Raw genomic sequence first — 14,377 nt, 5'->3', positions numbered from 1 at the left:
ACTTCAAAGGTATACTATTAAAAACAATTGAGAGAAGCAAAATTTATTTAAAAAATACATCAATAAATGCAATTTATTGTTCACTGTTTTCTTAAAAATGTTCTTTCCATTACACTACTTTTAGGTAATAGAGCTGCTTATGGCATGCTTGGGGCAGTAAGGGTTTGCACAATTGAAAAGGAAAAAATCTGTCCTGAAATAACAAAATGAAAACGTGGTTTTTTTTTGTTTTGTTTTGTTTTTGACAGAGTCTTGCTCTTTTACCCAGGCTGGAGTGCAGTGGCGCTATTTCAGCTCATGGCAACCTCTGCCTCCTGGGTTTAAGCGATTCTCCTGCCTCAGCCTCCCGAGTAGCTGGGATTACAGGCATGCGCCACTATGCCCAGCTAATTTTTGTAATTTTAGTAGAGATGGAGTTTCTCCATGTTGACCAGGCTGGTCTCGAACTCCTGACCTCAGGCAATCCACCCACCTCTGCCTCCCAAAGCACTGGGATTACAGGCACTGCTTTTTTAACTACCAAACACGATGCTTTTTAAAGTAAGGCTACTGTCTTTCTGCAGTGGTCAAATTACCATAGTAAGCAACTACACAAAGGAGTTTGCATGGAGGCAAAAAGGTATGCATGTGGGTAAATAAATCCCAATGCACAAACTACCAAAAATGAGAATTGTAAAACCTATTTACAATGAGTTGTAAAAGACTAGTACAGCTGAATACTTCTGGGGCAGAAGTACTACATTAGTGAAATTATACCAGTCCTGATCTTGATGATGTTGATAAAAAGCAGTTCTTAACATCCATAATTCATGCAATCATAGGACTGAAAAAATTGACTATTAAGGTTGAAAGTAAATAGGTCACATTTGCTAGATAAATTTTAAGTTAGACAATTGAGCTCAAGGTAAGCATGTCAATGTCTACCTGTTACCTGGCCCCTCAGCAATCTTAAAAGGATTATCAGTGGAATCAATGAAAGAGTGAGGTACTAATTCAGGTTACTGGTCTTGTCTTGGTTGTCACCTTAAATTATTTACTCTCTGTAGATCTCAATTCACATTTTTTTTGTAATTCTGGCTATATATTATCTGGATTTATAAGATATCTTAATAAAGAAGTTAAAATAGCCAATTCGATATATAAAGCAAAGTGCTACTCTGAGCTCATTTTTATCTATAAAGGAGGGAAACTGTAGAAGATGTTTGATGATGGGTCATTTATACATCTGACTTATATAGTTTATGTTTATTTGAAAATATATTGGATTTTTAAAAGATTACTGAAAGCATTGCTAATGAAAAAGATTGCTTGTCATAAATTTCACCTTAGCCATAGAATTGATATAATAGAGATCCAAAAAGAGTGTTGGGTTTCTGGCTGAGGACAACTGGTCAACAATGTCAAGGAAGGATGTACTGGTAGAAACCTTTTGGGACAGAGAATTAGAAAAACTGGACACTTATCATTGATTTTGCTATTGAATAGATGTGTGGCTTCAGCTAGACCACTCCATTTTCGAGTACCTCTCATCTTATTTTCAAACCTGCATGACAATAATCCCTTCTTCATATTTTATATTAGTATTATCGGTGCTTAAGATATTTCTAAGTGAAGCAAGGACATTTGCTGCAATCTGACCATTGTTCTAAATTAGCTCTATGACATTTTTCTTGGACACATGTGTCTAAGTTAATTTTGTTAACTTAGTTTTATTTCATTTCCTCTGTTAAAAGGAAATGCATTTATCTTTTCTTTTCTTTTATTACCACTTATATGTCCTGCCCTTAAGGGTTTCTTGGTATTTAAACACCTTCCAGGCTGGGCGTGGTTGCTCACACCTGTAATCTCAGTGTTTTGGGAGGCCAAGGCAGGAGGATGGCTTGAGAACAAGAGTACAGGATCAGCCTGGGCAACATAGTGAGACTCCCATCTCTACAAAAAATTTCTGAAAATTAGCTGGATGTGTTTGTGCATGCCTGTAATCCTAGCTACTTGAGAGGCTGAGGCAAGAGGATTGTTTGAGCACAGAAGTTTGAGGCTGCAGTGAGTTATAATCATGCCACTGCATTCCAGCCTGGGCGACAGAGCAAGATCCTGTCTCAAAAAAAAAAAAAAAAAAAGATACCTTCCAGCAATATTTGAACTTTCATTCTCCCATCCATCCATATGTATTCAACATGTAATGGATTCAACATGGATCCATGCATATTCAACATGAATTGGATGCCTACAGCATACAAAGGCTGTGCCAGCTGCTGGGCTTCAGGCCATTTCAGTTGTGGCATATGCAGATTGAAAGCCACATGGTTAAAACTTATGCCCAGCATGTTGAAAAAGCAAAGCTGACAGTGGCAGATACTCTTGACCTCTCCTAGACTCTGGGAGTGTTTGACAGCAAGCCCATGGTTCAATCTCTTCCTTTTCCAGTCGTCTTCTGACCCCGCTCTTTTGTGTTGCATGTGAGAATGCCTGACTGATCCTGAGAAGATTAAGTTGGCTTGAATGGAATCTTAAAGAGCTAGACTTCCCTTTGTTTATTATGTATCAGAGAGAACCTTGATGGCTGCCCCAGCATAGACTACAATTTCATAGGTTTTTCAACTGGAGGAGGAAAAACGTATTTACCAGGATAATCCCTTCCCACTCTACACCCTAAAGAAGAGTTCCTAAATTGGATAACTATTTCACATTTCTAATATGATTGCATTCTTAAATAAGAGAACCCTTTGGGCGAGAAAAATTAGCAAATAGATTTTCTATAGATAAAAATATCCTGTTGAATGACATTTCATAAAATTGTCTGCTTCCATAGGTTTTCCAGTGACTCCATAGTCTCCATTCAAGCAGGTACCATGTGAAATTTGTCAAAATGTCTTACCTTGTCGTTGCTTTTCCACATAGTGGGAAATATTGAAGATCAGTGATATAACCAAAGCCAAGCCCAACAATGCTAGAAGTCCCCAGAGGAAAAAGGGGCACCCAGAGATTCCTGGAAATTAAAATAAACATACACATAATATAACAGCTGCTTACCCATTTGTTTTGGTCTGGCTATTGCCACAGTTAAAGCTGTTGCATTTATTCATAATGAAGTACACAGTCTCTACCGGGAAACTAATTAATATTCATAACTTTTTTCAGTTTTCAAAGTGGGTGTTGGTGTTAAGTTGCTGAATTCAGCATGGGCAAAAGGATTCAAGTTTCTCACATTCTGAGTGTTTATGAAATAAACGACTTTTTTGTGTAGCTATTAAAAGGTGACAAGTGGTGACTGATAAAAAACTTTTGTTCAAAAATCAACAACATTCAAATTACCAAGAATTCTAGTTTGCTATACTTTTCACCTTTCTTTAATCCTCAGACTGTAATCATACACGCTTTCCTTATTTACAGAAAATGGCCTGTTCTCTTCCATTGATCTCAGTAGTATAGAATACGATGTGTTGGGATAAAACAATAATTCTGGAGCCCAGTTTTGTTAAGATTGGCCACAGGGAGCTTTTCTCATACTATGTAGAGCCCCATGAATGTAAAGTGGAAAGTTAATTACACTTCTCTTTCCCCTAGGCCTACACAGGGTCAGGATAATCAGTATTACCATCTTCCACCCCCACATCTTGTCCCAGTAGAAGGTCTTCAAGGGCAATGACACACATGGAGAGGTCATCTCCTGTAACAATGCCTCCTGGAATAACTCCTGAAGGACCTACCTGAGGCTATTTTACAGTTAACTTTTTTTATAAGTAGAAGAAGTATACTCTAAGGTAATGATAAAAGCATAGTATAGTAAATACATAAACCACTAATATAGTCATTTATTATCATTACCAAATATTCTGTACATAATTGTATTGCTCTACTTTTCTACAATGGGCAGCACAGTAGGTTTGTTTACACCAGCATCACCATAAACATATGAGTAATGCATTGCACTATGACATCCCAACAGTTATGAAGTCACTAAATGATAAAAGTTTTTCAGCCCCATTATAATCTTAAGGGACCACCATAATATATGTGGTCAATCATCGACCAAAACGTTGTGTGTGTGTGTGTGTGTGTGTGTGTGTGTTTTGAGATGGAGTCTTGCTCTTTCGCCCAGGCTGAAGTGCAGTGGCACGATCTCGGCTCACTACAACCTCCACCTCCCAGGTTCAGGCAATTCTGCTGTCTCAGCCTCCCAAGTAGCTGGGATTACAGGTGTGCACCACCACGCCTGGCTAATTTTTGAGTTTTTAGTAGAGACAGGGTTTCACCATGCTGGCCAGGCTGGTCTCAAACTCCTGACCTCAAGTGATCTGCCCACCTCGGCCTCCCAAAGTGCTGGGATTACAGGTGCGAGACACTGAGCCCAGCCAGACCAAAACATTGTTACATAGCACATGACTGTACATTGTACAGTGACAATTATATAATATAACATAATATAGTATAGAACAGCTTCCCTACAAACTCATTTTACAGTTAATTTATTATAGAGTTGACCAGGGAGTCGCATTGGTTAAAATTAAGCATTTAATGGATGCAGTAATCATTTACCTTTGGCCAAATTGGACTTGTAACCCTGCTTTAGAAATAGTCCAAGCTATAATTATTGCATCCAATTTCTATAGTATATACTTTGGGACCTTGATCATTCACTCATCAGATGCTGAAGGGATGAGAAGTTGATTTCAGAAAGATTATTTTGACCTTGCCTGTGTGAAACTACCTGGATCTACCCATGAATGGAAGTAAAATAGACTTTGATGACTTTCTATTCTGGACATGTCCCAGTTATGTTTTCAAAATTTCTTAAGGGAATGTCAAGACTGCTTCCATCTCGCCGACCATTAAAGCATACAATCTGCCCTAAAATGGCAACAGAGAGTTGAACTTCATGTTGTAGTCAGAAAATAAAATCTAAAATTCTCTGTTGTTCTTTCTTATTTGCTTCAATTTTCCACATTTGGGCCTTTGTTCTCAGGACAAAATAAAACATGTTTTAAGACAAAGAAGCCATATGAAACTCTTCATTGAATACATTAATTTCAAGGATACTATGAACTGGAAGACATTATTTAATACATCACATGGTGTCTCAAATATAAAGGCCTGGGGATTTCCTTAAGAACTGGTACATTTTTGCTATTATATCCCATGTGAATATTGTACTTAATCATCTGTCTGTCTTTGATACACAATCTAAGCAAATCTCAAGGGCTTTATGATACTCATTTTTGTGAACTAATCATATCCCTTTCTCCTTATTTTCCCTTCACCTTGACTTATTTGGTTATCTTTCATACTGTTACACTTATTTCTAATACCCCTTTTTCTGGAGGAGGGGTAAATAAATACATGGAAAATAATAATAAATCTCTAGCACTCATGAGCCTCGGGAACACTAATAAAAATCGATCTCCTTTCTACTTAGCATTTTTTTTCTTTCCACTTGCCACAGCATGTAGTGTTTAGTATATACTCAATACATAGTTATGGTTTGAGTAAATAAAATGTAGTACAATATAACCAATCATACTTCAAGGAAATAAACAGAAAGCCCTAATCTTATTTTTTAAATTACACTGAATCTAGCTATAAATCATCCAATCATTTGGACAAAATTATATTTCAAATAGAAGTTTTGCTTTCTCCTTTCCAATTAAAGAGAGAATTGAAATAGTTGTGTTAGTCCATTAATTGCTATAAGAAGACAATTTGACTCTCAGCTACAAAGAAACAACCTAATCAATATCACAAGCCTATATGCTACACTAAAAGTTTTTGGGAAAGTCCTAATAATTTTCATGAAATATGTCAGAAACACTAAGGCAAGAATTTGGGTCACACTGTACATTTCTTTAGGGTTGTGTTTTGTCGTTTACTGTTAGAGTAAATTTGCCCCACATAACCACTTGGAGGCCTTTTAAAACACAATCTAAGTTCTAATATTGGGGAGTAGTTTAGGTATGTGTGATGCAGTTTCACATGGTCTCTGGTTTCCTCTGCTTTTAGGGTCCGTAATTCCTGACACTTCTGTTTTCCAAGTTTTTAAAAATAATACATAAATTTTAAACAGGAAGATTTTTATTTGGAGGCTTTGTATTTTATGACATTCTTAATATCTTTCACAATTTTTTGCTTGCCAACAATAAATACCCCCATTTTGAAAAACAATGCACACACATGAGAAGGGTAGATATTAAGTAGATAATGATGGAAATTTTCAACTTGAATTCAGGTCTGTATAAACGTACACACACACACACACACACACACACACACACACACATACACACATACTTTATACCTCCCCTTACCCAGTAATTCTAAATATGCAGTATAAATATCTCCATATTCCTGTGGGTATCTACTTAGTACAGACAGTGCCTCTTAGAATACTGGATGCACAAAGTGCTTAAAATTTTTTACCCAACAAGTGTAACCTTTAGTATCAATATTCATTAATTGTAATTACTTTCATTTATATAGCTTTGATCAATTTAAAAAAACTCCCACACAATTTGAATTCAGCTATTTACACTGTTAAAAAGCCGAAGAACTCGAGAAATTATCAGAGAGGAATGGCAGCTAGGAAAATCATGATTTAAGTTTCTCTCCAGCTTCCAACTACCAGGGGCTAATAGTGGTGGGTTTAATTATAAAACCTCTGACTCCCTTAAAGCCAACAGTAATTGGCAGGCACTGTCTTTGAAATTCACAATTGCATGTGCTCTGGAAGGAAACCCAGCTAAGCAAATATAATGTCTTTCTGCTGGCAGATTTGATTTACACAGAAGCCTTTACTTAAACAATTAGCAATAGAAAAAGCAATAAATATAATGCCTTAATTGTTTTTACTTCAGGCTATCTTTAACTGAGACAAGTGTATGAGTTTATAGTATATTACAGCATATAGCTTCTCTTAATGGCTTTCCTTGGCTTGTAAACTCTGTCAGAGCAATGAACGTCTTTTTGCATTCCATGAATGTGTATATTTATTTTAGGCACCCAGAAATCTCAATAGCAGTATTATGATCCCCATGAGTCTACTTATAAAATGAGTTTTTCTTACCATGGTGGTGGTTGGTGCTAAATAAGGCACATTCTTGATGATTTTTTGAACGTGACACATGATCACTACACGCACAATCCCAACCACTACCCATCATCCCACAATAAAAGACATTTGAATCATGGATATTAGCACAGGAGGGGGCTCGCAAATCAGTTCCAGGCTTTCAAGTAAAATACCATGCTGTTTTTAATGCAAATCTGAAATCCACTGACCTTATGTGTCTATTATGAACAGGGGGTTATTTGAGAAGTAAATGGTGTGTGTTGGGGAGTGGGCTGTGATGGGGAAAGAGAAAATAGTAATATTAGCTTTGGATACCTATTTTCAAACTGTGGAAAAGGGAATGAGAGTAGTCACCAGTTGTGTGGCTGAATCTCACTAAGACAATTGTAAAACTGGATTTCATATCTTCATCTGTGTTACATTAAGGCTACCTCTTCCTAGCACATCATGATTCCCCTCAATCAATACTTTACTTAATTTAATTGAAGAAAGTATAAATATGAGAGTGAGGTGGAGGACAGAAGAGAGTAAATTATGATTCCTCCAATGCTAGACTCTTCATTGCTTCTACAATTAAACTTTACCTGAGATTGGTAAACCTCAGAAATTCTACTGAGATTAAAGTGCTGCTGTAGATGAACTTGTCTTTCTCTGTATTTAGTGACTTCATTTATATGTATACTTATTGTTTCTTATTTGAGAAGAACCTTAGTAAGATCCTCTGAAGATGGCATGGTTGTATGGCAACTTTCATCCAATAAAATACTTTATGATGTTTCTTTTAATATTTCAAGAAGGCCTATTAATTTTGTCATCTCTTCCCTTTAATTCAGGAATGCTGAGAAGATTAAGTGTAATCAAAAATGTCTGGGAAAGTGCCGAATAATGATTTCTCTTATTCACTAGCAACTTGGGGACATTTATTTCTTGGAACTATGATCTTTAATTGACAATCTTTCCTGGATTGACTTTCCTTAAAAACACTGCCCAATTCATAATATTACCTAAATTAAATGGAGAAACATTGTCTTTGACCCATCTGAGTTTAAAAGATAATTTACACGTTAGTCCCACCTAGTCTCTAAAAGAAAGGATTTCATTGTCCTCAAAAGGTGATGAGGCTCAAGAGAAGATAAAACTGAGTAAAGACAATGAGACTCCTTTTTTTTAAAAAAAATGAAGATGAGTAAACTAAATTGTGAATCATTATTTAAATTAATGATAGACCAAAGACTTGTTTTCACCATTTGATTCCATTAATACAGATTTTATGTAAATGCAGAAACACAGCAGGAATTATGATACCAGAACATTATGGATGATGCAGTGACTACAGGCATATAGGTAGGAAAAAAGAAAATACTTGGGTTTTTGTTTTCATACGTAGTTTTACTTAACTAGAAATAATTATTCTTTTGTGTGTGTTCAAATTTATTTTATTTTTTATTTTACCTATCTAAATATAAAAAATACTATCATCTGATTCTCTTCCTTCATGTGAAATTTTGTTTTGTTTTGACTTTTAATACCTGTGAGGTTTTTAAATACTTTGTCTTTGCATCTCTTCTGTGAAATTGTAAAAGTTCTCAACTGTTGATGTAGGAGCTCCTGTATTAAACCCAAAGGGGAAGTCTGAACTACAAAATGCGATGGAGGAAATGTTACCATATCTGTTCTAAATTTAGAATTAATTAGTCCTGAAAATAGAGGAATGTCATATTCACCGTCTTTGGTCTTCCCATGCTTTCTGAGTTCCCCATCATCATCAGCTCATGGAATTATACTTAGTAATGCTATGTTCATTTCTTGCAGGGCACTAGAAAAATTGGGACACTTGTTTTTGTTCTTTGCTAAAGTATGAACTGGGAAAGATAAGGAGAGGTATGAAAATTGTATGCCAGCTTATGGTCCCTGTGTGATTTATGTAATCAATTGGTTTTAAGATCCATCAAACAGAACAATGGAAGCCAATTCACAGAAATTATAATATATGCAATCTTTACTCCATAGCTGGCCTATACAAATTGGTATTAAAAGTACAAAGCATACTAATTAAGCAAAAGAGGTCATCAGACTATCACAAATGATAGCTATAAACAGTTTAAAAATCCATGCAAAAATGTTCAACCTCATTATAATCAAAGTAATGCATATTGAACAATGAGTTAGCATGTTGTGCTTATGAGATTAGTGACGATTTTTTAAAGGAGATCAGCCTGTGAAGGAGAAGCACTGCTAGAATGAGAGGGAATTGGCATCACTCTTGGAAAAGCAATTTGGCAATAATGAGACTTAAAATGCCATAATCTCTTAATAATTTCAGTTCTAGAAAGTTTTCTGAAAAAATAACCCTTACTACAGAAAAAGCTATAGAGTTGTTCATCTTTCTGTCATGTAAAAATATTTTTAAAAACTGTATACAACAGGGCTGGGCGCAGTGGCTCACGCCTGTAATCTCAGCACTTTGGGAGGCCAAGGCGGGCGGATCATGAGGTCAAGAGATCGAGACCATCCTGGCCAACATAATGAAACCCTGTCTCTATTAGAAATACAAAAATTAGCCAGGCGTGGTGGCACGCGCCTGTAGTCCCAGATACTCAGGAGGTTGAGGCAGGAGAATCGCTTGAACCTGGGAGGCAGAGGTTGCAGTGAGCCAAGATTGCGCCACTGCACTCCTGCCTGGCAACAAAGAGAGACTCTGTCTCAAAAAAAAACAAACAAAAAAAACTGTATACAACATAAATGTTCAGCAATAAACAAATGACTAAACTATAACTGAATAGATATCATTTTTGTGCATTCATTTAAAATGATTATGCAGAAGTTATATTAAAAGGGACATGGTTATGTTAGTGAAAAAAGCTGGATATATTATGTACATTATTATTTCAGTTATGAAAAGCAAACTATATAGAATGTATATAAATAAAATTTGAAAGGAAATAAAACATATTTTGTGTTTTTAAGGTGATGGAAAATACGTATGAATTTTTAATATATATATTTCACAGTTCTCCCACATTACATAATATGCATGTTTCCTTTTGCAACAAAAAGATGTTTATTTAATAAATTAAAAGTACATAAAATAATACAGGAGGAATGAACCATCAACATGGATTCATAACAGTGAGTCAATATGGATCCAACCCTTTCACAACAGCGAGTGAATATGGATCTAACCCTCATGATTAATCTCACAGCAATTGAATTTTCACTGGCCTTTTCAAAATTGTTGTCTCTCTGAATGTTGACAATTGCATTGCTTTCTAGAAAATACTATAGTGCCTAATCTCTGAGGAATTAGAATTACACTTATCCTGTTTAATAGCTAAACTAAACTAAAGAGGAATACACATAGTCAACAAAAGCTTCTTTAAAAATAACAAGTACTTCACATGGCATAATTATCAGTGAACACTTACTGAACAGCTGTAATTAGATTTACGTTCTAAAATGCTGTCCACATTTTTCTTTCAAAAGAAAAATGTCAACTTATACTCATTAACATGTTTCAAAATATATTTTAATTACACTAAAAGTTATCCAACATTTTTAAAATAACTACTTTCTAAATACTAAGGGTCTTCTCGTTAGGACTTAGAAATTAAGTGAATTTTTAGACACACAAATGGAACAAAAAGTTTAAAATGCCACTTACCTGACATGCTTCTTTTTTTCAGAGAAATCTTTATCTAGCCATAAGACAAATATATGGATTAAAAATCCTCCTACAAACTTTTTTCCTAGGTGATGTTGCTCTGTTATGTTAAAAGCAGCATGACAGTAAAACTTATCTTTATCTGTGCCTCGGATTCTTTTCTCTTCTGTTTCTTAAAATCTTTTGTGTGTACTTTGTTTCAGTTACAAACAGGAAATGTGGTGAAGGAGTTGTCTTGAGTTTTGATCTGAAAACAGTCGACTTAAATTGTGTAACGTGGGAAGAAAAATCCCACACACCTTTGTAATCTGACATTTGAATTTTTATCAATACCTGAGTCTAATTGAAAAATAAATAAATAAAGGTAGGAATTAAACCAGGAGGGATCTTCCTATCTCTGGAGAGAATCCAGTCATCTCTTCACAAGTAAATTCACATGGAAACAAAATAAGATACACTAAACTGATGAGTAAATAGTAAGCAACCCGTGGGTGTGCTCAGCTGTTGTATTTTCTTGAGCCATGATGGAGGACAGGGAGTTAATATTTTTTGAGCACTTAGTATGTATCAGTTGCCTTCTATACCTCATCTTAATGCGAGGCTAGATGCCTGCCTTATTTCCTGACAATCCTCACCTTATCAGTATGAGTTTCTCTGTCCAATCTAGAGCCACCTGACAACAAGCTCCTGTTCTCAACCACCATCCCAGAATCTTAATAGCAGCAGTTCTTACATGTTGGTGTACATAAGTATGCTATAAGATGCTAGTTTAAAATCCTGGGCCCGTCTAAATTAGACTATTTAGGGTGAAGCACTAGAATCTGCATTTTAACAAGCAGATTTTCTGAGTGCATTTTAAATTACATATATTGTATATGATAAGATATTTTAATATAGATGTTCTGGACAATGCTTTTGGAAACTCATATAAGGAATAGAATCTATATTATTCATTATTAAAATTTCATAACTAGAATTAAGCACACCGGCACATCGTAAGTCTCAATAATTGAGACTTACTCTCAGTGATTGAACAAACAAAACCATGGGTGTCTTGTGCTTTCTTTGTCTTCCATTATAGAAAATAACTCCCTAGTAAGCAAAATACAGTGCATCTTATCCTTTGGACAAAGCTGGCTAAACACTAACACATTTTTCCACTTCAATCACTCCCCCCCAAAATATTTTTTGGTGAATCGTTGACTCAGAGGCTGTAAAACTGAAAGAGACCTTGGAGATTCTCTGGTCTAAGCTTCTTTAAAAGGGATTTTTAAAGTATGTTCCATAGAACACTCGGCCTTTAAGAAACGCAGAAGACAAATGTTTCTTCAACAAATATCTTTGGAAAAAATATATAGCTTTATTTTTACCTCCGTAGATGCATATTAAAGGCTTAGGTAAGTCCTGCGAAAAGGAAACCCAAATAATATTTTTATCAGAGTTTTTCTAAACTTATTTGGCCAGAGGACTCTTTGTTCAGCCGCTAACCATTAGCAGAGTGACAGGTTTTATGAAGCAGGCCTGGATGCTGACAGAACAAGACTTCAGGGAACAGCAGCCTCAGGTTCATGTAGGGATCAGAGGACAACAAAGAATCAGAAGGTTTCATCTTAGAATTAGATGGAACGTAGGGAGGAAGACTGCTGAAAAGTTGAATCCCAGACATTCAGGAAGATTCGGGCACCTGATAAATCAGTTTGAGAGGAGAGGGCCTAGTTATGGCCTTGAGGAGTTGAGCTTTGGTCCTGAAAGAGGGTAACTGGTAAGAAAAGTAGAAGTCCTAGGCTCAAGAAAGGACTACAGAGGTTACCTAAGCAAGACCTTGGAATATGGGCAAAGTAGATGCCCACAACTCGAGCTTACAGAGGACATTGGAAAGAGAAAGGGTTTCAGGACTGGAAATTTTGGTGCTAGCATTCCTTTGTTAGAACAAAATTATCGCAGAGGATGGGGAAAGAAGGAAGGAAGATGCTTTCATCCCAGCTGATCCATAAAGTGCAATTCCAGAAAAAACGGTGTTTAATTATTATTGGCTGTGAATGGAGAGAAGGTCAACTCAGCAAGAATGACTCAGGCAAAAATGCAGGAACTCTGTGGTTTGCTCAGAAGTATCTCTCAGAGCAGCCCAACAGGAAGAGAGACCCAAAGCAAACCCACCTGTTGGGAGAGCAGCTGTCTAAGGGCTTCCCTGCCTCAAGGGTATGACTTTACCCATACAGCTGCAGGAAGCTGGGGAAGGCAAGAGCAGAAGAGACATTAGGAAGGATATGTCCTGCTTCAGAAAGAGCCTGAAGTACCTGTTGAGTGATTACCTTATGGCTTAAAAGGGTTAATGTACCTCCTATGCATGATTGACATCTCTAAATGGTAAAAACTTAGGCTAATAAATCTGAACCACTTCACAGTTTCTAATTATTACAATATTTTTGAAAAGTGATCTTCATTACAATGTTCCATTCCATAGATTTAAATAATCTACGGAGATGTAACAAGATTGTCCAAGGTCACACAGGAAGTCCGTGCCTGCACATTAGTTAGCTCCATAGATGTTTGAAATTTGCCAGGAAAAAAAAAATAGCTTTTCATTAAATATAGATGGCTGAGCACATGGAAACATTATCAGAATATAAAAAAGCATATGGATATTTATTTGTTATAAAATATATTAGAAAGTGCATTCAGAGATTTGAATGATGGCTTCATGAGCCATGTTTAAATCATAAATAAACATGAGGCCTCTGTAGTACTTTTTAATGAGATGGGTTATCAAAATGGAATTTCAAAGAAAGCTAGACTAAGCAGAAATGTCTCGACAAGCTTAAAGCAGTTAGAGATGTTGTAGGAAATTTTGGGGGGAGGTTTTGATGGGCACCTGCCAAGAAATAAAAATATTAAGGCCAACAAAATTGATGTTTTGTTGCCAAAAGAAAATGAAAAACATGTCAAAATGGCAGCTGCCATTCAGAGTTTCAGAAAAATGGGTCAGAGTGTAGAAAGAGGCCCAGTTTTTCAAACTTCTTTTTTGATGATCATCTATCATTTTTATAATTAATTTTCATCACTATAATGTATTTTCTTATATCTGCGTGTGTGTGTATATATGTATATATGTATACATATATAGATATATATATACACATATATATTCATATATATATATATATATATATATAGAGAGAGAGAGAGAGAGAGAGAGAGAGAGAGAGAGAGAGAGAGGGTTTCCAAGCTGTTGAATAGATATTGTATTTACAAATGTATTTAGCTATTGTTTAAATTACTTACAATAACATGCACTAGTGTTATAATTGGAATAAAAGCTGTGCCCTTATTTTAAAGGCTCTTTATAATATTTGTTTTATTGAAACACTACTTACTTCTCTGTAATTTTTATTTATTCTGGTGAATTGCTGTTTAGTCATACTGAAGCTAGTACAAAGTAAGCAAACAGCTTGATGAGAGAAAGGAGTGGAGGGGCCACCTGGGCTATCAATTATGCTATTTTCAACAGTGAAATTATTCAAAATTGATTATGAGGTTGCAATTGATTCTGATTAGGCTATATTAGTATTTATATTTTCATTGAGTTTAGACTATAAGGTCCTCCAGAAAGCATGACTATTCAGACAAAAAAGGTAAAAGCAAATTAAAAGCAA

The 14,377-nt window shown here is 35.6% G+C and overlaps 1 protein-coding gene across 2 annotated transcripts in view; it reads right to left on the bottom strand.

Annotated features, from left to right (window-relative positions):
* Positions 1–10,873, bottom strand: part of TRAT1 (T cell receptor associated transmembrane adaptor 1) — a 32,220-nt gene extending 21,347 nt beyond the window's left edge. Inside the window, exons 1-2 of one of the 2 annotated variants that reach the window (NM_016388.4) lie at positions 10,725–10,873; positions 2,879–2,989 (exon numbers count right to left, since the gene is read on the bottom strand). In NM_016388.4, coding sequence (NP_057472.2) covers positions 2,879–2,989; positions 10,725–10,731 — 118 coding nt within the window. In that variant the 5' untranslated portion in view covers positions 10,732–10,873. The remainder of the gene's footprint in view (positions 1–2,878; positions 2,990–10,724) is intronic. The other variant, NM_001317747.2, reaches the window with a different exon arrangement.
* Positions 10,874–14,377: the final 3,504 nt, after the last annotated feature.

The sequence above is a fragment of the Homo sapiens genome, chromosome 3 (genome assembly GCF_000001405.40).
Source record: "Homo sapiens chromosome 3, GRCh38.p14 Primary Assembly".
NCBI classification, from domain to species: Eukaryota; Metazoa; Chordata; class Mammalia; order Primates; family Hominidae; genus Homo; species Homo sapiens.
The sequence above is the reverse complement of the archived record's forward strand: the minus strand, read 5'-3'. Positions and strand labels throughout refer to the sequence as shown.